The 22,697-nt window shown below is 39.9% G+C and overlaps 1 protein-coding gene across 19 annotated transcripts in view; it reads left to right on the forward strand.

Annotated features, from left to right (window-relative positions):
* Positions 1–22,697, forward strand: part of PPEF1 (protein phosphatase with EF-hand domain 1) — a 152,851-nt gene that overhangs the window by 58,269 nt on the left and 71,885 nt on the right. For 15 of the 19 annotated variants that reach the window (XM_047442194.1, NM_001377986.2, XM_047442195.1 and 12 more), the window contains 2 exons: positions 413–473; positions 16,457–16,617. In XM_047442194.1, coding sequence (XP_047298150.1) covers positions 413–473; positions 16,457–16,617 — 222 coding nt within the window. The remainder of the gene's footprint in view (positions 1–412; positions 474–16,456; positions 16,618–22,697) is intronic. The other 4 variants (XM_017029612.2, NM_001389624.1, NM_001377995.1 and 1 more) reach the window with 2 other exon arrangements.

Genomic DNA, 22,697 nt, shown 5'->3' on the forward strand with positions numbered 1-22,697 from the left:
GCCTGTAAGGGAGTGAGGAATGCGAGACAGGACAGGGGAGAAGCTAGGCCAAGATGTACTTTTTGAAGTCTGACCTCAGCCTGATCCCATCTGGAGCTGTCAAGTGTGAAATGCACTACAGTTTGTCCCTGGCAGAGGCAAGGGAGGTGGGGGACTGGGCTGTTACACCCTTGCTTCAGCCAGTCGTTGTCTCTGGGCAGCCCCACAGGAGGGGCGTTCATGTGTTACCCTGTGTTGCTCTGGATGCAGGCAGTCCTCTGGAGGCAGGCATAGAAGTGACCCTTAGCACCTGCAGCAGCTGAGATACAAATGCCCCACAAGAGTAAGGGCACTCGGGTGGAACACCAACAGCATTTGTCACAGTAGCTGTTTGGGGTTCACTAATTGATTAATTTTTTTTTATTTTGTCCAGTTATCCACCTTCTTTTCCTTCATGTTGGAAAACTACACACATATACATAAGGAAGAGCTAGGTAAGTAAAAAGCTTAGTCTTTTCAAATGTGTCATTAAATATTGAATTGTCTTCATCAAGAGCGGTAAATTCTGAAGATGGGAGAACACTATGAAATTAAAAAGATGCCTACCTCTTTTGTTTATGTGACACCCAACAACTGGCAACATCAGTTCAAGTGGCCTTTTTCCCTCTCTGGATGGTGTCAACTAAATCAATCATTTAACTTTTTCACTTTTCCAAAAGCTGAATTAGAATTCATTCAATATTCATTTGTTGAATGCCTTTTCTGAACTACAATCTATCGGTACACAACAGTAGCTTAGTAAAGGGAACCTTATTTATTATTATTATTATTATACTTTAAGTTCTAGGGTACATGTGATCAACGTGCAGGTTTGTTACTTATGTATACATGTGCCATGTTGGTGTGCTGCACCCATTAACTCATCATTTACATTAGGTGTACTCCTAATGCTATCCCTCCCCCCTCCCCCAACCCCATAACAGGCCCCAGTGTGTGATGTTCCCCACCCTGTGTCCAAGTGTTCTCATTGTTCAATTCCCACCTATGAGTGAGAACATGCAGTGTTTGGTTTTCTGTCCTTGCGATAGTTTGCTCAGAATGATGGTTTCCAGCTTCATCCATGTCCCTACAAAGGGCATGAACTCATCCTTTTTAATGACTGCATAGTATTCCATGGTGTATATGTGCCACATTTTCTTAATCCAGTCTATCATTGATGGACATTTGGGTTGGTTCCAAGTCTTTGCTATTGTGAATAGTGCCGCAATAAACATACGTGTGCATGTCTCTTTATAGCAGCATGATTTATAATCCTTTGGGTATATACCCAGTAACGGGATGGCTGGGTCAAATGGTATTTCTGGTTCTAGATCCTTGAGGAATCGCCACACTGTCTTCCACAATGGTTGAACTAGTTTACAGTCCCACCAACAGTGTAAAACTGTTCCTATTTCTCCACATCCTCTCCAGCACCTGTTGTTTCCCGACTTTTAATGATCACCATTCTAACTGGTGTGAGATGGTATCTCATTGTGGTTTTGATTTGCATTTCTCTGATGGCCAGTGACGATGAGCATTTTTTCATGTGTCCGTTGGCTGCATAAATGTCTTCTTTTGAGAAGTATCTGTTCATATCCTTTGCCCACTTTTTGATGAGGTTGTTTGATTTTTTCTTGTAAATTTGTTTAAGTTCTTTGTAGATTCTGGATATTAGCCCTTTGTCAGATGGGTAGATTGTAAAAATTTTCTCCCATTCTGTAGGTTGCCTGTTCACTCTCATGATAGTTTTTTTGCTGTGCGGAAGCTCTTTAGTTTAATTAGATCCCATTTGTCAATTTTGGCTTTTGTTGCCATTGCTTTTGGTGTTTTAGTCATGAAGTCCTTGCCCATGCCTGTGTCCTGAATGGTATTGCCTAGGTTTTCTTCTAGGGTTTTTATGGTTTTAGGTCTAACATTTAAGTCTTTAATCCATCTTGAATTAATTTTTGTATAAGGTGTAAGGAAGGGATCCAGTTTCAGCTTTCTCCATATGGCTAGCCAGTTTTCCCAGCACCATTTATTAAATAGGGAACCCTTTCCCCATTTCTTGTGTTTGTCAGGTTTGTCAAATACCAGATGGTTGTAGATGTGTGGTATTATTTCTGAGGACTCTGTTCTGTTCCATTGGTCTATGTCTCTGTTTTGGTACCAGTACCATGCTGTTTTGGTTACTGTAGCCTTGTAGTATAGTTTGAAGTCAGGTAGCGTGATGCCTCCAGCTTTGTTCTTTTGGCTTAGGTTTGTCTTGGCAATGTGGGCTCTTTTTTGGTTCCATAGGAACTTTAAAGTAGTTTTTTCCAATTCTGTGAAGAAAGTCATTGGTAGCTTGATGGGGATGGCATTGAATCTATAAATTACCTTGGGCAGTATGGCCACTTTCACGATATTGATTCTTCCTATTCATGAACACAGAATGTCCTTCCATTTGTTTGTGTCCTCTTTTATTTCCTTGAGCAGTGGTTTGTAGTTCTCCTTGAAGAGGTCCTTCACATCCCTTGTAAGTTGAATTCCTACGTATTTTATTCTCTTTGAAGCAATTGTGAATAGGAGTTCACTCATGATTTGGCTCTCTGTTTGTCTGTTATTGGTGTATGGGAATACTTGTGATTTTTGCACATTGATTTTGTATCCTGAGATTTTGCTGAAGTTGCTTATCAGTTTAAGGAGAGTTTGGGCTGAGACAATGGGGTTTTCTAAATATACAATCATGTCGTCTGCAAACAGGGACAATTTGACTTCCTCTTTTCCTAATTGAATACCCTTTATTTCTTTCTCCTGCCTGATTGCCCTGGCCAGAACTTCCAACACTATGTTGAATAGGAGTGGTGAGAGAGGGCATCCCTGTCTTGTGCCAGTTTTCAAAGGGAATGCTTCCAGTTTTTGTCCATTCAGTATGGTACTGGCTGTGGGTTTGTCATAAATAGCTGTCATTATTTTGAGATACGTCCCATCAATACCTAGTTTATTAAGAGTTTTTAGCATGAAGGGCTGTTGGATTTTGTCAAAGGCCTTTTCTGCATCTATTGAGATAATCGTGTGGTTTTTGTCTTTGGTTCTGTTTATATGCTGGATTACATTTATTGATTTGCATATATTGAACCAGCCTTGTATCCCAGGGATAAAGCTGACTTGATTGTAGTGGATAAGCTTTTTGATGTGCTGCTGGATTCGGTTTGCCAGTATTTTATTGAGGATTTTTGCATCAATGTTCATCAGGGATATTGGTCTAAAATTCTCTTTTTTTGTTGTGTCTCTGCCAGCCTTTGGTATCAGGATGGTGCTGGCCTCATAAAATGAATTAAGGAGGATTCCCTCTTTTTCTATGGATTGGAATAGTTTCAGAAGGAATGGTACCAGCTCCTCTTTGTACCTCTGGTAGAATTCGGCTGTGAATCTGTCTGGTCCTGTACTTTTTTTGGTTGGTAGGCTATTAATTATTGCCTCAATTTCAGAGCCTGTTATTGGTCTATTCAGAGATTCAACTTCTTCCTGGTTTAGTCTTGGGAGGGTGTATGTGTCCAGAAATTTATCCATTTCTTCTAGATTTTCTAGTTTATTTGTGTAGAGGTGTTTATAGTATTCTCTGATGGTAGTTTGTATTTCTGTGGGATCGGTGGTGATATCCCCTTTATCATTTTTTATTACGTCTGTTTGATTCTTCTCTCTTTTCTTCTTTATTAGTCTTGCTAGCAGTCTATCAATTTTGTTGATCTTTTCAAAACAGCTTCTGGATTCATTGATTTTTTGAAGGGTTTTTTGTGTCTCTATTTCCTTCAGTTCTGCTCTGATCTTAGTTATTTCTCGCCTTCTGCTAGCTTTTGAATATGTTTGCTCTTGCTTCTCTAGTTCTTTTAATTGTGATGTTAGGGTGTCAATTTTATATCTTTCCTACTTTCTCTTGTGGGCATTTAGTGCTATAAGTTTCCCTCTACACACTGCTTTAAATGTGTCCCAGAGATTCTGGTATGTTGTCTTTGTTCTCATTGGTTTCAAAGAACATCTTTATTTCTGCCTTCATTTCGTTATGTACCAGTAGTCATTCAGGAGCAGGTTGTTCAGTTTCCATGTAGTTGAGCAGTTTTGAGTGAGTTTCTTAATCCTGAGTTCTAGTTTGATTGCACTGTGGTCTGAGAGACAGTTTGTTATAATTTCTGTTCTTTTACACTTGCTGAGGAGTGCTTTACTTCCAACTATGTGGTCAGTTTTGGAATAAGTGTGATGTGGTGCTGAGAAGAATGTTTATTCTGTTGATTGGGGTGGAGAGTTCTGTAGATGTCTATTAGGTCTGCTTGGTGCAGAGCTGAGTTCAGTTCCTGGGTATCCTTGTTAACTTTCTGTTTTGTTGATCTGTCTAATGTTGACAGTGGGGTGTTAAAGTCTCCCATTATTATTGTGTGGGAGTCTAAGTCTCTTTGTAGGTCACTCAGGACTTGCTTTATGAATCTGGGTGCTCCTGTATTGGGTGCACATATATTTAGGATAGTTAGCTCTTCTTATTGAATTGATCCCTTTACCATTTTGTAATGGCCTTCTTTGTCTCTTTTTATCTTTCTTGGTTTAAAGTCTGTTTTATCAGAGACTAGGATTGCAACCCCTGCTTTTTTTTTGTTTTCCATTTGCTTGGTAGATCTTCCTTCATCCCTTTATTTTGAGCCTATGTGTGTCTCTGCACGTGAGATGGGTCTCCTGAATACAGCACACTGATGGGTCTTGACTCTTTATCCAATTTGCCAGTCTGTGTCTTTTAATTGGAGCATTTAGCTCATTTACACTTAAGGTTAATATTGTTATGTGTGAATTTGATCCTGTCATTATGATGTTAGCTGGTTATTTTTCTCGTTAGTTGATGCAGTTTCTTCCTAGCCACGATGGTCTTTACAATTTGGCATGTTTTTGCAGTGGCTGGTACCAGTTGTTCCTTTCCATGTTTAGTGCTTCCTTCAGGAGCTCTTGTAAGGCAGGCCTGGTGGTGACAAAATCTCTCAGCATTTGCTTGTCTTTAAAGGATTTTGTTTCTCCTTCACTTACGAAGCTTAGTTTGGCTGGATATGAAATTCTGGGTTGAAAATTCTTTTCTTTAAGAATGTTGAATATTGGCTCCCACCCTCTTCTGGCTTGTAGAGTTTCTGCCGAGAGATCCGCTGTTAGTCTGATAGGCTTCCCTTTGTGGGTAACCCGACCTTTCTCTCTGGCTGCCCTTAACATTTTTTCCTTCATTTCCAACTTTGGTGAATCTGACAATTATGTGTCTTGGAGTTGTTCTTCTCGAGGAGTATCTTTGTGGCATTCTCTGTATTTCCTGAATCTGAATGTTGGCCTGCCTTGCTAGATTGGGGAAGTTCTCCTGGATAATATCCTGAAGAGTGTTTTCCAACTTGGTTCCATTCTCCCAGTCACTTTCAGGTACACCAATCAGATGCAGATTTAGTCTTTTCACATAGTCCCATATTTCTTGGAGGCTTTGTTCATTTCTTATTACTCTTTTTTCTCTGAACTTCTCTTCTCGCTTCATTTCATTCATTTGATCTTCAATCACTGATACCCTTTCTTCCACTTGATCAAATCAGCTACTGAAGCTTGTGCATGCGTCATGTAATTCTCGTGCCGTGGTTTTCAGCTCCATCAGGTCATTTAAGGTCTTCTCTACGCTGTTTATTCTAGTTAGCCATTCGTCTAATCTTTTTTCAAGGTTTTTAACTTCTTTGCGATGGGTTCGAACATCCTCCTTTAGCTCGGAGAAGTTTGTTATTACCGATCATCCGAGGCCTACGGCTGTCAACTCATCAAAGTCCTTCTCTGTCCAGCTTTGTTCCATTGCTGGCGAGGAGCTGCGTTCCTTTGGAGGAGAAGAGGCACTCTGAGTTTTAGAATTTTCAGCTTTTCTGCTCTGGTTTCTCCGCATCTTTGTGGTTTTATCTGCCTTTGGTCTTTGATGATGGTGACCTACAAATGGGGTTTTGGTGTGGATGTCCTTTCTGTTTGTTAGTTTTCCTTCTAACAGTCAGGACCCTCAGCTGCAGGTCTGTTGGAATTTGCTGGAGGTCCACTCCAGACCCTGTTTGCCTGAGTATCACCAGCAGAGGCTTCAGAACAGCAAATATTGCAGAACGGCAAATGTTGCTGCCTGATCCTTTCTCTGGAAACTTCGTCTCAGAGGGGTACCTGGCTGTATGAGGTGTCATTCGGCCCCTCCTGGGAGTTGTCTCCCAGTTAGGCTACTCGGGGGTCAGGGACCCACTTGAGGAGGCAGTCTGTCCGTTGTCAGATCTCATACTCTGTGCTGGGAGAACCACTACTCTCTTCAAAGCTGTCAGACAGGGATGTTTAAGTCTGCAGAAGTTTCTGCTGCCTTTTGTTCAGCTATGCCCTGCCCCCAGAGGTGGCGTCTATAGAGGCAGGCAGGCCTCCTTGAGCTGCAATGGGCTCCACCCAGTTCAAGCTTCCCGGCTGCTTTGTTTACCTACTCAAGCCTCAGCAATGGTGGATGCCCCTCCCCCACCCTTGCTGCTGCCTTGCAGTTCAATCTTGGACTGCTGTGCTAGCAGTGAGCGAGGCTCCGTGGGCGTGGGACCCTCCAAGCCAGGTGTGGGATATAATCTCCTAGTGTGCCATTTGCTAAGACCATTGGAAAAGTGCAGTATTAGAGTGGGAGTGTCCTGATTTTCCAGGTACCATCTGTCACGGCTTCCCTTGGCTAGGAAAGGGAATTCCCCGACCCCTTGCCCTTCCTGGGTGAGGCGATGCCCAGCCCTGCTTCTGCTCACACTCCGTGGGCTGCACCCACTGTCCAATAAGCCCGAGTGAGATGAACCCGGTGCCTCAGTTGGAAATACAGAAATCACCTGTCTTCTGCGTCGCTGACGCTGGGAGCTGTAGACTGGAGCTGTTCCTATTCGGCCATCTTGGAACCAAGATCAAGGGAACTTCATTTTTCATCCACAAAACTTTTTTGCTGAGAGATCAAAATATTTTGAGTATTTCATGCAGCAGATCTAGGGGAAAATGGCAAATTAAACACAGTTGGCCCCGTTGTGTCTGTTTTCTGTCCTCTCTCTCTCTCTTTTTTTTTTTTTTGAGACAGAGTCTCGCTCTGTTTCCCAGGCTGCAGTGCAGTGGCACGGTCTCGGCTCACTGCAACCTCTGCCTCCCGGATTCAGGTGATTCTCCTGCCTCAGCCTCCTGAGTGTCTGGGATTACAGGTGCTTGCTACCACACCCAGCTAATTTTTTGTATTTTTAGTAGAGACAGGGTTTGAGAATGTTGACCAGGTTGGTCTTGAACCCCTGACCTCGTGATCTGCCTGCCTCAGTCTCCCAAAGTGCTGGGATTACAGGCATGAGCCACTGCACCCGGCCTCTCTTCTCTTTGATCTGTCTGTCTGTCTACCTATCATCTAGTCATTCTGAAGCAGAGGCAGGCAATGGAGGTGTAGTTCAAAAATGATTTTAAAATTATAATTTTTTACAACCATGTATTTCTCCTGCAAATTAAGATCTGCCTGTTATTATCTCCAAGACAGATGCCAGACTTAAACGCTCATTTTGCTTTAATTTGGGCCAACCATTTTTTTTTTTTTTTTTTTTTTGCTCTCATTAAAATGTGTATGGCATCTAGGAGCATCTTTTAAATAATCTGGTAAATACCCTTCAAAGTGAAGTGGTAAAAGAATGGTGTTTTAATGGGCATGATTTAAGCTAAGTGCATATGTATGAAACTAATTAAAGCATTTAATGATCTGTAGAAGCCTTCTGAATGGTGAAATAGCCAAACCTAAGGAATGGGGAGTGGGTGGAAGTGGGTACTTTGCCATTTTTTCTTTTAGATAACTGCAATTCGAAGACAGTTGTTTATGCTTCATATTCCTTGGCAAAAATGTTTTTGAGAGGAAATATGATAATGATAAAATGAAACAGCACTTTCTGCTAATGACCTAATACTTCAACCCAGGCTCACTTCATCAGAATCACTTACGGAGTTTCAGAGCCACAGGTGGCTGGGTTCCAGCCCGGAGATGTCTACTCAGACTGTGTTGTCATTGTTGTTGTTTTAATCTGCATTTTAAAAAATTCCGTAGGTGATTTTAAAATATAAGAAAAATATTTTTATTAAAGAAGGGGACAGTGGTTTAATCTTCTTATAGAAGCTTTTTTGGAAGTATACATTACAGGAAGGTATACAAATTATATGACTCAGTACATTTTCTCAAAGTAAACACACCCATGTAACTGGCACCTGGAACAAGAAATAAAACATGATCAGGGCCACATAAGTTTCCCATCCTGCCTTCTTGTACTGCTACCCAACCCCCACACAATCACATAACTACTTTCTTGACTTCTACACCCTAGATTAGTCTTTGAACTTCTTTATATAGATGGAAGCATGTGGTATATACCCATTTGAGTCTGGCTGCTGCTTCTTTTTTTTTTTTTTTTTTTTTTTTAACGTTTTGTTTTGTTGTCGTTGTTGAGACAGAGTCTTGCTCTGTCACCCAGGCTGAATTGCAGTGGCGCAATCTCACCTCACTGCAACCTCCACCTTCCTGGTTCAAGCAATTCTCATGCCTCCCGAGTAGCTGGGATTACAGGCATTCACCAGTAAACCTGGCTAATTTTTGTATTCTTAGTGGAGATGGGGTTTCGCCTTGTTGGCCAGGCTGGTCTCGAACTCCTGGCCTCGGGTGATTTGCCTGCCTCGGCCTTCCAAAGTGCTGGGATTACACACATGAGCCACTGTGCCCAGTCCTGAGTCTGGCTTCTTTTGATCATCATTACATTTGTAAGAATCATCCTTGTAATTTGGTCATTTTTATTGCTGAATAATATTCCATTTTACTAATATACCATAATTGATCCATTCGATTGTGTATGGGCATTTGAGTTGTTTTCAGATTGGTGATTTAAATGGTGCTGCTATGTACATTCTTGTACATGTCCCTTTTGGTAAAATATGTATGCATTTATTTGGCTATATATTCATTTTTGGTTATCTATTGCTACCTAATAAACTACCCCCACATTTAGTGACTTAAAAACAACAGCCATGTTATTGCATGTAATTCTGTGGGTCAGGCATTTGAACAGGGCTTGCTGGGAACAACTTACCTCTGTTCCATGTGTTATCAGTTGAGCTCACTCATCTAGCTGGACTGGGCAGGAAAGATCAAATGGTTTTAATCACATGTCTGGGATTTTGGTATTAGGTATTAACTTGGTTACCTCTCGGCCAGGTGCAGTAACTCATGCCTGTAATCTCAGCACTTTGGGAGGCTGAGGTGGATGGATCACTTGAGATCAGGAGTTCAAGACCAGCCTGGCCAACCCCATCTCTAGTAAAAATACAAAAATTAGCTGGGTGTGTTGGTGCACGCCTGTAATCCCATCTACTCAGGAGACTGAGGCACAAGAATCGCTTGAACCTGGGAGGCGGAGGTTGCAGTGAGCCAAAATCGTGCTACTGCACTCCAGCCTGGGTGACATAGTGAGACTCCATCTCAGAAAAAAAAAAAAAAATTTGGTTACCTCTCTTTTTCTCACGCAGCCTTTCTGTCCATTAGGCTATTCTGGACTTCTTTACATGATGGCTGGGTCCAAGAGGGCAAAGGCAGAAGCTGCCAGGCCTCTTAAGGCCTATGTGCTAGAACTCTGGGAAATCAGTTCTGCCATACTCTATCGGTTAAAACAAGTCACAAGGCCAGACGTGAATTCAGAGCAGTTAAAGAGATATCCATCTCTTCCTCAGAGGAGTGGCAGTATTACAGTATAAAGGGATGTGGACATAGGGAGGCATGATTCCTTGGGGAGCCATTATCATAAAAATGTACCACAAGCCAGGGATAGAAGTTTGGGGTTATAGCGCTTATATCTGTTCAGCTTTATTAGATACTGGCAGACATTTTTACAGGATGGTTGTAACAAGCTATACTCTCACCAGTTCAGTTGCTCCATATCCTCACCAACACTTGCAATAGTACATTCATTTCATTTTAGTCATTCTGGTGAATATCTAGTGGTATCGTATTTCAGGTTTAATTTGCATTTCCCTTTGAGCAGTCAAGTTGCTCACTTTTTTTCTTTTCTTTTTTCTCTTTTTCTTTTTTTTTTTTTTTTTTTTTGAGACAGAGTCTTACTCTGTTCCCCAGGCTGGAGTGCAGTAGCGTAATCTCGGCTCACTGCAACCTCTGCCTCCCGGGTTCAAGCCATTCTCCTGCCTCAGCTTCCTGAGTAGCTGGGACTACAGGCATGTGCCACCACGCCTGGCTAATTTTTGCATTTTTAGTAGAAATGGGTTTCGCCACATTGGCCAGGCTGGTCTCAAACTCCTGACCTCAGGTGATCCGCCCACCTCGGCCTCCCAAAGTGCTGGGATTACAGGCATGAGCCACCGCTCCCGACCAAGTTGCTCACCTTTTTGTATGTTTATTGGTCATGTGGACATCTCATGTGGTGAAGTTCCTGTTCAGGTTTTTTTGTCCATTTTTCTATTGGGTTATTTGTCTTTTTCTTATGAATTTGGAAGAGTTTTCTAACTCTTCTTATTTTATTTTATTTTTTTAGATAGAGTCTCACTCTGTCGCCCAGGCTGGAGTGCAGTGGCATGACCTCGGCTCCCTGCAACCTCCCCGCTGCCCAGGTTCAAGTGATTCTCGTGCCTCAGGCTCCCGAGTAGCTGGGATTACAGGCATGCACCACCATGCCTGGCTAATTTTGTATTTTTAGTAGATACGGGGTTTCTTCCATGCTGGTCAGGCTGGTCTCAAACTCCCGACCTCAGGTGATCCACCCGCCTCGGCCTCCCAAAGTGCTGGGATTACAGGCGTGAGCCATTGCGCCCGGCCTAAATAGGATATTTTTAGGAACCAGAAGGTTATTTAACATTTCCAGATATCGGGGCCACCAGATTAATGGTCTTAACTCTGGGGCATGGAGTATCTTGAGACACGTTGGGTACTCTGAAGATAAGAGGTGACCCTGGAAGCAGTCATACTTGTCCTTGTAATCCTACCACCTCTTGATGATCAATTATAACAGTTGATCTCCCTGTGCTACTACTTTAAGAGCTCAAAACCAGTGCATAGGACTCCATGGGGTGTAGAGACTCCACAGAAACATTCCCAGTCCACTTTTCACACATCAGCCTCCTCCCACAGGCAGAAAGCCGAAGCTGCCATACATAGCCATAGGTTTAAACAGAGACTGGCGGAAGCGGGGAGTGGGATGGAGTGTGTGGAAGTGTTGTTTTCACTTTTCTTTCTGCTTCTCAGATCAGCCAAAATGTCCTATCGGACCAGGTATTTTATATTTTTTGTTGCTATGGTGAATAGAACATTTTCCCCATTATATCTTCCATTGGTTATCGGTAGTGTTTAGTAAAGCTTTTGAATTATGTCAATTTATCTTATATTGTGCTACTATTAAGTAATAATAATATTTTTATTGTTGATATTTGTTACATGTTTACCATGTGCCATGTATTTAAGTGCTTTAAATACATCATTTCATTTAGTCTTCATGACAAACCAGTGAGATTAGTAGTATTATCATCCCCTTTTTGTAGATATGGAATCTGAGGCTTAGAAGGCAATCTCCCAAGGTTATTCATCTCATTGGTGGAGAAGCTGTGATTCAAACCAGTGTGATTAATGTCTATATTTTATACATATAAAAAATATAAAATATATATTTATTATAGTATTTATATAATATATATTCCATATAATTATATATTTATATGGAATATATATTATATATTATATAATTATATTATATATATTATATAATTATATTATATATATTATATATTATAATATAATTATATATTATATTATATTCCATATAATTATATAGAATATATATTATATATATATATATTTATTTTCGAGACAGGGTCTCACTCTGTCACCCAGACTAGAGCACAGTAACATGATCATGGCTCACTGCAGCCTCGACCTCCTGGGCTCAGATGATCCTCCTACCTCAGGCTCCCGAGTAGCTGGGACTAGAGGCACGCACCACCATGCCCAGCTAATTTTTTTGCATTTTTTGTAGGGGTTTTGCCATGTTGCCCAGGCTTGTCTCGAACTCCTGGACTCAAGCAATTCTCCATGCCCAGCCTCTGTATTACATTTAATTCTCCTATCAATTCTGGGAGTTTTTCAATTGATTTTCTTGGGTGTAGGTATTTAATCACATTGGCCACAAGTAACTTTATTTTTATATCTTTCTATACAATAATTACTGCTCTTATTTCAGCTTCATGTCTTATTGCATTGGCCAAAGATAGTGGATCAGTGTTAGAATGAAACAGTGAAAGTGGGCATCCTTGTTTTGTTGATGATTTAATGGAAAAACCATTATTGATTATTTAAATTTATAAAGCGATGTTAAGGAAGTATCATTCCATTCCTAGTTTCTGAGTTTTTAAAAAATCAGGAACAGATGTTAAATTTTATGAAATGTCATTTTGGCATCTATTGAATTTATTATATGGACACCAATGGTTCTGATCCAGATTCATAACTGAGAAACAAAAATAACTATAAATGTAGTTCAATTGTTGCTTTTCTTTTTCCAGCAATATCTGGAGCTTGTTTTCAAAGTGACATGTGGGTGGTAGAGGCAGAAATTGTTGTATAAAAATTTATGGGCTTTAAATTTTTCCCTGTCCAGATTTTGAGTCTGTACTGGGTAAAAGAAAAGATTGTGTGTAGGGGGTATTTTTGAGGTATTTTCTTTAGAACAACTTGTAAAGGTATCATTTGCCTATAATTCTTAATTAGTTTAGATTCATGTTGACAAAATTGTAAACCAAATAGGTAAGGATTAATTCTGTGTTGCACAAATCTTTATATATTGTTCATTAAATTATTGTTATTAGTTATAATAGTTCTAGCCCACAAGAACAGTATATACATAAGAAATGTTAAAGCCTTTGATTGTTTTCATACATGACACATTAGCTACTGGAAGAGAATTTATGTTATTCTTTTTTATGTTGCTAAAAACCAGCAGAAGGATTATGATTTGACGTTGACTAATACTTCATATTGAGTAGTTTTAACTAAGAATCGGTTTAGGGAACTGGTCCTTTTTCATATCTTTGTCACTGAACTTTTAGGCAATGATGGTCATCAGATCTATGGAAGGGACGGTAGACCAAGCTTCTCTTTTTTTTAAAGAATGAAAACAATATTTTAATTTTGTTCTTAAGTAACAAGACTGAGTCTTCATAACTGGAAGGGATGGAACTGATTTGCTGTGTCAGTTAGCCGATGGGAAAGGGAGAGATGACAGCATGGGTGGAGGCAGTGATTGGGAAAATAAAATGATTTTTGCTTTATTGCTCACAGAGTTGGGGTTACTAAATAAATCGGTTATAAGTATATAAATAATACTGTAGGTATCGTGTAGCATAGTTACATTTTAATATGCAGTAAAAGTGTAATGGTTAAGAGTTTGAGCTCAAAGCCAGATTCTCTGGGATCAAGTTCCATCTCTGCTACTTACATGCTGTACCCCATTTTCCTTGTATATAAAATGGAGATACCAACAATATTTATCTCATAGGGTGGTTTCGGTCATTACATGAATACACATGTGTAAGGTGCTTAGAACAGTGCCTGGCACATCAGTAACTGGGAGCTCCCATCCTTGTCATTATCACCATGATGCCTTGGAAAAGGTGTGGCCTGGGGTTCAACTGGGCAGGGGTTGCTGAGTTTTGAAGGATGATAAATTGTCCAAAGAAGAGAAAGCAAGGGTAGTCCAGGGAGAGGGAAGAGTGGGAACAATAAAGACAGAGTGCTGGGCTGGGAGAGGAAAGCATCGCCAGTGTGGGGGAGATGCAAGGTCCCGGGGTGACATCTTAGATCGGAGGAGTGTCTAACTATGTTTAATTGTGTTACAGAGTCTGAAGAGAGGATCATGCTGGAGATACAGGCAAGGGAGGAAGTGACTATGAAGTTGCCAGGCCTCTGAGGATTTGGAAGGGAGAAAGGGTGTGGGGAACAGCTCCATGGGTGGTTCCATATGCCTGTCTGCATCCATAGCTGCATCCTCAACTTCATTTCCTCTTTCCTTCCAGCATCTGACTTTCTAAATCAGGCATGCTTTAAGCTATGCTGCCTTTCTTTCTTTCTTTTTGAGACAGGGTCTTGCTGTGTTGCCTAGGCTGGAGTGCAGTGGCACAATCACACCTCACTGCAGCCTTGACCTCCTGGGCTCATCCTCCTGCCTCAGCCTCCTGAGTAGCTGGGATTATAGGCGCACGCCACTATGCCCAGCTAGTTTTTTTGTATTTTTTGTAGAGACGAGGTTTCACCATGTTGCCCAGGCTGTTTCACTGCCTTTCTCATGAACACTGCAATCATATCATAAATTCCTCCCCCATCTAAAAAACAGAATCCCCTAGTTTTTACCATGCGTTCCATATTCACTTTATTTTTTAGAGTCTATAACAGAAAATAACCTTTATAATTCTGTTAGATGATATAGTGAAAGTACTGCGGGTTTTTGTGGGTTTTTGTTTTTGCTGTTATTTGTTTTTTCTAAGAGTTGCTTGGTATTTCAGTGTGTACAGTCAGGAAAAGGAAAGTTTTCATTTGAAGCAAGATTTATATCCAAGAACGACTACCAAATTGAAAAGGGTGGCATGGGCATTGAAGACAGTGAAGTATTTAGGCTTTACTGCCTACGTAATGAATCTGAGATAAAGTTGTCAAGATGCTCTCCCTTTCTAGTCTCTAAATATAAATTGAAATAATTAAGTTATTCTTAAATCTCAAACCAAACCCAAATGAGAAAAATAACCACTCCCGGACCACATTAAAGACAGACATTATTACTCCTAAATTCAGCTTCTTATAAAACATCATCAACCACCACCAGAAAACACTGTGGTACACAAGAATTTAGAAAATATTTTTTTAAATTGCCAAATAGTATGACTTTAGAAAACATTTTTCACGTTTAGTTCTTAACTGTAATCTCTCAGCATAACTGGATCATGAAAAAAATGTATTCTGTCTATATCTTGACCACTCTGAATATTTTAAAAGATAGAAACTGTTTGCAGAGAACTTCTGAAGAATGGCCTTTGTAACAATTCGGTGTTAATGAGTTGAAGAGTATGTCATTGTCCTCTGGGTCATTATCCGCAAGAATATTGTGTATTAAACAACCACCATACCTCAGTGGCATGTAATCAATATTTCTTTTTGCTAACAAGTCTACAGATTAGCTGAACACTTCTGCTGATCTTGGCAGGTTTGATTAGGCAGTTTTTTTGGGTCTTGGCTGGAGTTCACTCATGTGTCCAGAACAAACACTGGTGGCTGCTGGCTGGGGGCTGATCGAGGACAACCTTGGCTAGGATGACTCAGCTCAGCTCTACATGGTCTTGGGTCTTTCTGAAGCCTAGCCTAGGCTTTGTGGTAGTGGCATTGTTCCTAAAGAGTGCATGAAAGCATACAAGGCCTCCAGAGAGACCTGAGCTTGGAACTGGTACATAGCACTTCCATCACATTCTTTAGGCCAGTACAAGTCATGAGCCCAGCCTGGTTTGAAGGGATGGGGAAACACACTCTTGACGGGAGTAGCTGCAAAAGTACATTACAAAGAGCATGGATAGAAGGTGGGATAGAGAATTGGGATCACTTTTGCAATCCATCTACCATGTTTCCTTTCGTCTTTCTCTGTCTGAATTGTCTTGATTTCTGTACTGGGGCTGACTGTTTCATGGGCAATCTAGCAGGCAGGGACCCTGGGTCTCAGCACCCACTAAAATGGACAATGCAGGCACTCCGTTATGTAGAACTGTCTCTCCGAGACTGAGAGGTTCTTTGGGTATTTCTGCCTGTGATTTGTCCTTTAACTTTATCTGCTTTGTTACCAAGAAAGAATGAAAATCATGTCAGAAAGTTTATTTTTAAGTAAAGAGAAAAACAAATCCGTTACAGCTAAATAGAATCCTCTGAAGTGTTTAACAGGGGAAAAATTGAATGTTGCAGTTAAATTTTCTGTAGGTTCTGAATAGCAGCAGATGTTTGAACCAAATATAATGTATTGTTCTGTTTTCAGCCCTATTTGTAAAAGTCTGAGATGTAAGAGTGGGCAAAAAACTTAGAGCTAGAGCTTCGATCATCCAAATACCTTGATTGGCTAGTTTTCCCTGTGCTTCTCCCTCCCCTTCCCACTAGCCATGGACCCACTGCTGTGGTAAAACATCTGCCCAGGAAGGGATGGTGGTGACCCATGTGAATGTTCTGGTCTCAGGGTCAGTCATTCCTCGTGGTTATATGTGGGCTGTGTTGATATGCAGAACATTTAGCACAGTGCCTTACATGGGCTAGGTATTCAAGAAGATATTTATTAAATTTAAGTATTGAAATGTTGATTCCCACCCCCACCCCCACCCCCCCGTTCTGTCCTTCCTTTTCCAGAATTAAGAAATCAGTCTCTTGAAAGCGAACAGGACATGAGGGATAGATGGGATTATGTGGACTCGATAGATGTCCCAGACTCCTATAATGGTCCTCGGCTACAATTTCCTCTCACTTGTACGGATATTGATTTACTTCTTGAGGCCTTCAAGGAACAACAGGTAAGTGGAAGCAGATGCTGCCTTGATTCTTGTACATAACAGATGCCCAATAACTGTTGAAAGAATGGATGAACATACCACAGCAGAGATGCATTTCTTTAGAAAACAGTTCACATTAAGTGAGAGCTCCCCTCTGTTACTCATTTAATAGAAGTCTCCTCAGGTGCACAGCAAGCTCCTCTCTGTAGGCTAACAGCATTTCATTTGCCATTTTCTGAGATATCATTCACATACCATAAAAGTCACCATTTTACAGTGTACGACTCAGTGACTTTTTCACGCATTCACAGGATTGTGCAACCATCACCAATATCTCATTCCAGAACATTTTCATCACTCCCAATAGAAAGGCCATTCCTGTTATCATTGCCTCCTCCCCACCCCTGGCAACCACTGTTCTATTTTCTGTCTCTATGGATTTGCCTATTCTAGATATTTCATGTAAATGAAATCATCAAATATATGGCCTTTTGTGTTTGGCTTCTTTCTCTTAGTGTTTTAAAGGTTCGTTCATGTCATATCATATATCATTACTTGATTTCTTTTTATGGCTGATAATATTCCATTGTATACCACATTTTGTTTATCCATTCATCAGTGAATGGACATTTGGATCATTTCCACCTTTTGGCTATTGTGAACAGTGCTGCTATGAATATTCATTCACAGATTTTCATATAAACATGTGTTCTCAGTTCTCTTGGGCTTATACTTAAGAATATTTCACTGGGTCATATGGTAGCTCTATGCTGGATCATGTGGTAACTCTATATTTAAATTTTCCAGTAATTACTAAACTGCTTCCCACAGTAGTGGCACCATTTTGCATTTCTACCAGCAATCTATCTTCCCATGTAGGTTCCAATTTCTTCATGTTTTTGCCAACACTTGTTATTTTGTTTTTTTTTTTATTTTTATTATAGCCATCCTAGTGTGTGTGACGTGGCATTTCATTGTGGTTTTGTTTTGCATTTCCCTAATGACTAATGATGTTGAGCATCTTTTTATGTATTTATTGGCCATTTGTATACCTTCTTTGCAGAAATCTGTGCAGATTCTTTGCCCACTTAAAATCAGGCTTTTTATTATTGAGTTATAAGAGTTCTTTCTGGATATAAATTCCGTATCAGATATATGATTTGCAAATATTTTCTCCCGTTCTGTAGGTTGTTTTTTCATTTTCTTGATAATGTACTTTGATGCATAAAAGCGTTACATTTTGATAAAGTCCAGTTTATCCATGTTTTTTCTTGGTTGCTTGTGCTTTTGGTGTCTTGGTTGCTTGTGCTTTTGGTGTCATATCTAAGAATCCATTGTCAAATCTAAGGTCATGAAGACTTGCCTTTGTGTTTTCTTCTAAGAGTTTTATAGTTTTAGCCTTTACACTTATGTCTGTGAATGATTTTGAGTTAGTTTCTATATATGGTATGAAGTCAAAATTAATTTTTTGCATATGGATATGCATTGTCCCAGCACCATCTGTTGAAGAGACTGTTCTTTCCCCATTGAGTGGTCTTTGCACCCTTGTCAAAAATCAATAGGCCAGGCCGGGCACAGTGGCTCATGCTTGTAATCCCAACATTTTGGGAGGCCGAGGCGGGTGCATCACCTGAGGTCAGGAGTTCAAGAGTAGCCTGGCCAACATGATGAAACCCTGTCTCTACTAAAAATACAAAAATTAGCCAGGCATGGTGGCTCATGCCTGTAATCCCAGCTACTCAGGTGGCTGAGGCTGAAGAATTGCTTGAACCCAAAAGGTGGAGGTTGCAGTGAGCCGAGATCGTGCCACTGCACCCTAGCCTGGGCGAGAAAGCGAGACTCCATCTCAAAAAAACAAACAAATAAAAATCTATAGGCCATAGATATCTGGGTTTGTTATTGGACTCTCAGTTCTATTCTATTGGTCTATGTGTCTGTGCCAGTACCACACTGTCTTGATTGCTGTAGCTTTGTAGTAAGTTTTGAAATAGGGAAGTGTGAGTCCTTCAACTTTGTTCTTTTGCAGTGTTGAAATTGTTCTTCATTATTGTTTTGGCTATTTGGGGTCCCTTGCAATGAATTTGAAGATCAAATTTTCCATTTCTGCAAAAAAGCCTATTGGGATTTTGATAGGGATTGCGTTGAATTGCTATATCACTTTGGGTAATAATTGCCATCCTCACAATACAAGTCTTTCAACCCATGGTGTCTTTCCATTTATTTATGTCTTTAATTTCTTTCAGCAATGTTTTGTAGCTTTTAGTGGACAAGTCTTTCATCACCTTGGTTAAATTTATTCTTAAACAATTTATTCTTTTGGTTGATATTATAAAAGGAATTGTTTTCTTAATTCCTTTTTTGATTGCTCATTACTTGTGTGTTGATCTTATACTCTGCAGCTTTGATGAATATACTTGTTAGCTCTAGTAGTTTGTGTGTGTGTGTGTGTGTATGTGTGCGTGTGTGGTGTATTCTTTTGAATATTCTATATACCAGATCATGGTATCTGTGAATATAGTTTTATTTCCTTCTTTCTGATTTGGGTGCCTTTTGTTTCTTTTTCTTGCTCAATTGCTCTGGCTAGAACTTCCACCACAATATTGAATAGCAGTGTGAAAGTAGGCATGTTTATCTTGTTCCTCATCGTAGGGGGAAAGCTTTCAATCTTTCACTACTGAGTTTAATGTTAGTTGTAGGTTTTTCATAAAAGTCTTTTATCATGTTGAGGAAATTTCCTTCAATTCTTAGTTTTCTGAGTGGTTTTATCAGGAAAAGTTGTCGGGTTTTGTCAAATGCTTTTTTTTTTTTTTACATCAGTTGAGATGATTGTGCGTTTTTTACCCTTCGTTCTATTAATGTGGTGTGATATATTGAATAATTTTCTTATGTTGAACCAACTTTGTATTTCTGGGATAAATCCCTCTTGGCCATGGTATATAATCCCTTTAAAATGCTGTTGTATTTGGTTTGCTGGTATTATGTTGAGAATTTTTGCATCTATTTCATAAGGGATATTGGTCTGTAATTTTCTTTTCTTGTAGTGTCTTTGCCTGGCTTTGGTATCAGGGTAATACTGATCTCATAGAGTGAGTTAGGAATTGCTTCCTTTTATTCTGTTTTTTGGAAGAGTTTAAGAAGGATTGTGTTAATTCTAATTTAAATGTTTAGTAGAGTTCACCATTGAAGCCATTTGGCCTTGGACTTTTCTTTGTTAGGAGGTTTTTGATGACTGATCCAATCTCTTGTTCTAGATCTGTTCAGATTTTTTATTTCTTCTTGAGTCTGTTTTGGTAATTTGTGGAGTTTCTAAGAATTTGTTCATCTCATCTAAGTAATCTAATTTGTTGGTGTACAATTGTTCATAGTATTCTCTCATAACCCTTTTTTATTTCTTTAAGGTTGATGGTAATGTCCCCACTTTAGTTTCTGATTTTAGTTATTTTCATTTTCTCTTTTTTTCTTAGTCAGTCTTGCTTAAAGGTTTGTTAATTTTGTTGATCTTTTCAAAGAACCAACTTTTGGTTTTGTTGATTCTCTCTATTGTTTTTCTATTCTTTATTTCATTTATCTCCACTCTAATTCGTATTTTCTTTGTCAAAATATTAAGTTAGTTTATTGATTTGAGATCCTTCTTTTTTAATGTGTGCATTTACAGCTACAAATTTCTCTCTGAACACTGCTTTTGCTGTATCCCATAAGTTTTGATATGTTGTGTTTTCATTTTTATTCTTCTCAAAGTATTTTCTAATTTCCTTTGTGATCTTTTTATTACCCATTGGTTTTTTAAGAGTATGTTGTGTAATTTCTACATATTTATGAATTTTCTAGTTTTGCTTTTGTTATTGATGTCTAGTTTCATTCCATTGTGGTCAAAGAAGATACTTTGCATGATTTCAGTCTTTTTAAATTCGATGCGGTTTATTCTGTGGCCTAACATCTGGTCTATCCTGGAGAATGTTCCATGTGTCCTTGAGAACAATGTATAGTCTGCTTTTGTTGGGGAAAGTGTTTAGTAGATATCTATTAGGTCTAGTTGTGTGTGGTCTCTGAAATCTCTGTTCCTTTAGCTTGTGTTAAGTTAGTGTTTTGACAGAGACTTCCTTGAACACCAGGAGCGATTTAAAAAAAAAAAAAAAGGAAGGGAAAAAAACCAACAACAAATATTTGCAGATTGGCTCTCTGTTGGAGCACTCCTTCAACTCCTTGGGCCATTTACAAATGTTAGTCTTTACTTCCCGCTTGTGCTGAACCATTGTTCAGTTTCCTTTTTCTTGATTCACTGTTTGGTTGCTATAAACTTTGAGTATTTTCCAGAGTTCTGACAAAGTTGATTCTGACAGGGTTTGTTTGTTTGTTTGTTTTTGCTTGATTTGTCAATGTTTTTGTGGCGGAATGGGACCTTAGAGTTGCCTACATGACCGTTTTCTCTGACATCACCCCAGTACCCTCATTCTCAGGTTAGGACCCTAAAGGGCATACCTAGGAGTAAGAGTGAACTGGAAGACTGGCTTTTCAATGATCAGAGAACAGCTTGGAATGAATCATGTAATTCCTGAGATTGAACTGAGATCATCTTAGATAGCTAAGGCTCCTAACCACCTGCCAACAGCAAATTTAAGTCTTCTCTGGAAGACAATAGGCCTGAGATTGTTTGTTCAGTTTTTCTTTCTTCCTTTCTTTTTTAAAGGCAGGGTCACACTCTGTCACCCATGCTGGAGTGTGGTGGCACTATCATAGCTCACTGAAGCCTTGACCTCCTGGGCTCAAGCAATCCTCCCCCCTCAGCCTCTCAAGTAGCTGGGACTGTAGGCACATGCCATCATGCCCAGTTAATTTTTTATTAGCTTTTGGTAGAGACAAGTTTTCACTGTGTTGCCCAGGCTGGTCTCGAACTCCTGGCCTCAAGTGATCCTCCCACTTCGGCTTCCCAAAGTGCTGGGATTATAGGCATGAGCCACTGCACCTGGCCTCAGTTTTTCATATGCAATTTCCAGAACTCAATACAAATATAACCAAGCACAGGAGGTTATAAGACACATGAAGAAAACTGAGGCAAACAACAATGGAAACAGACCTGTAGGGTATTTGGTTAGTGGCATTATCAGACTCTGAGTTTAAAATAAATATGCTTAATATAAGTTCAAGGAGATAAATCAATCCAAGGAGCCATAATAGAGAAGATTGATAATTCTGACTTTATAAAAATGAAAAGACTGTTATTAAGGGAAGAATAAAAGGTTCAACACAGTGTACAGAGTAAAAAAAAAAGGATCATGTATATTTTGATTTTTTTAATTGAGAAAAAATTCATCTAATGTAAAAGTGATCATTTAAATCATTTTAAAGTGTATGAGGCCGGGTGCAGTGGCTCACGCCTGTAATCCCAGCACTTTGGGAGGCCGAGGCAGGCAAATCACTTGAGGTCAGGCGTTCAAGACCAGCCTGGTCAACATGGTGAAACCCCGTCTCTACTAAAAATACAAAAATCAGCTGGGCATGGTGGCACGTGCCTGTAGTCCCCGCTACTCGGGAGGCTGAGGCACGATAATCACTTGAACCCAGGAGGCAGAGGTTACAGTGAGCCGAGATCGTGCCACCGCACTCCAGCCTGGGCGACAGAGTGAGACTCCATCCCCCCCAGCCCCCAAAAAAAGAGTGTATGGTTCAACAGTTTTTAGTATATTAAAAATGTTGTGCAACCATCACCACTATGTAATTCCAGAACATTTTCATCACCCCCAAACAAAACCCTTTACCCATTAGCAGTCACTCCCAGTTGCTCCCTCCCCCAGCCCCTGGCAATACTAATTTACCTTCTTTCTCTATGGATTTGTCTAATATGAACACTTCCTGTAAGTGGAATCGTACAATATATGTGGCCTTTTGTGCCTGGCGTCTGTTGCTTGGCATGTTTCCAGAGTCCATCCGTGGTAGCATGGATCAGTACTTCCTTCCTATTTTTAGCTGAGTAATGTTACTTTGTATGGATATAGCACATTGTATTTAAGGGATTATATGTTTATACATGCATTTTTGTATTCATCTGTGGTTATATTGATTTTTGTATGCTTGCAAACACATAGAATATTTCTGGGAAAGAT

This window comes from Homo sapiens, chromosome X, assembly GCF_000001405.40.
Source record: "Homo sapiens chromosome X, GRCh38.p14 Primary Assembly".
Classification (NCBI taxonomy): Eukaryota; Metazoa; Chordata; class Mammalia; order Primates; family Hominidae; genus Homo; species Homo sapiens.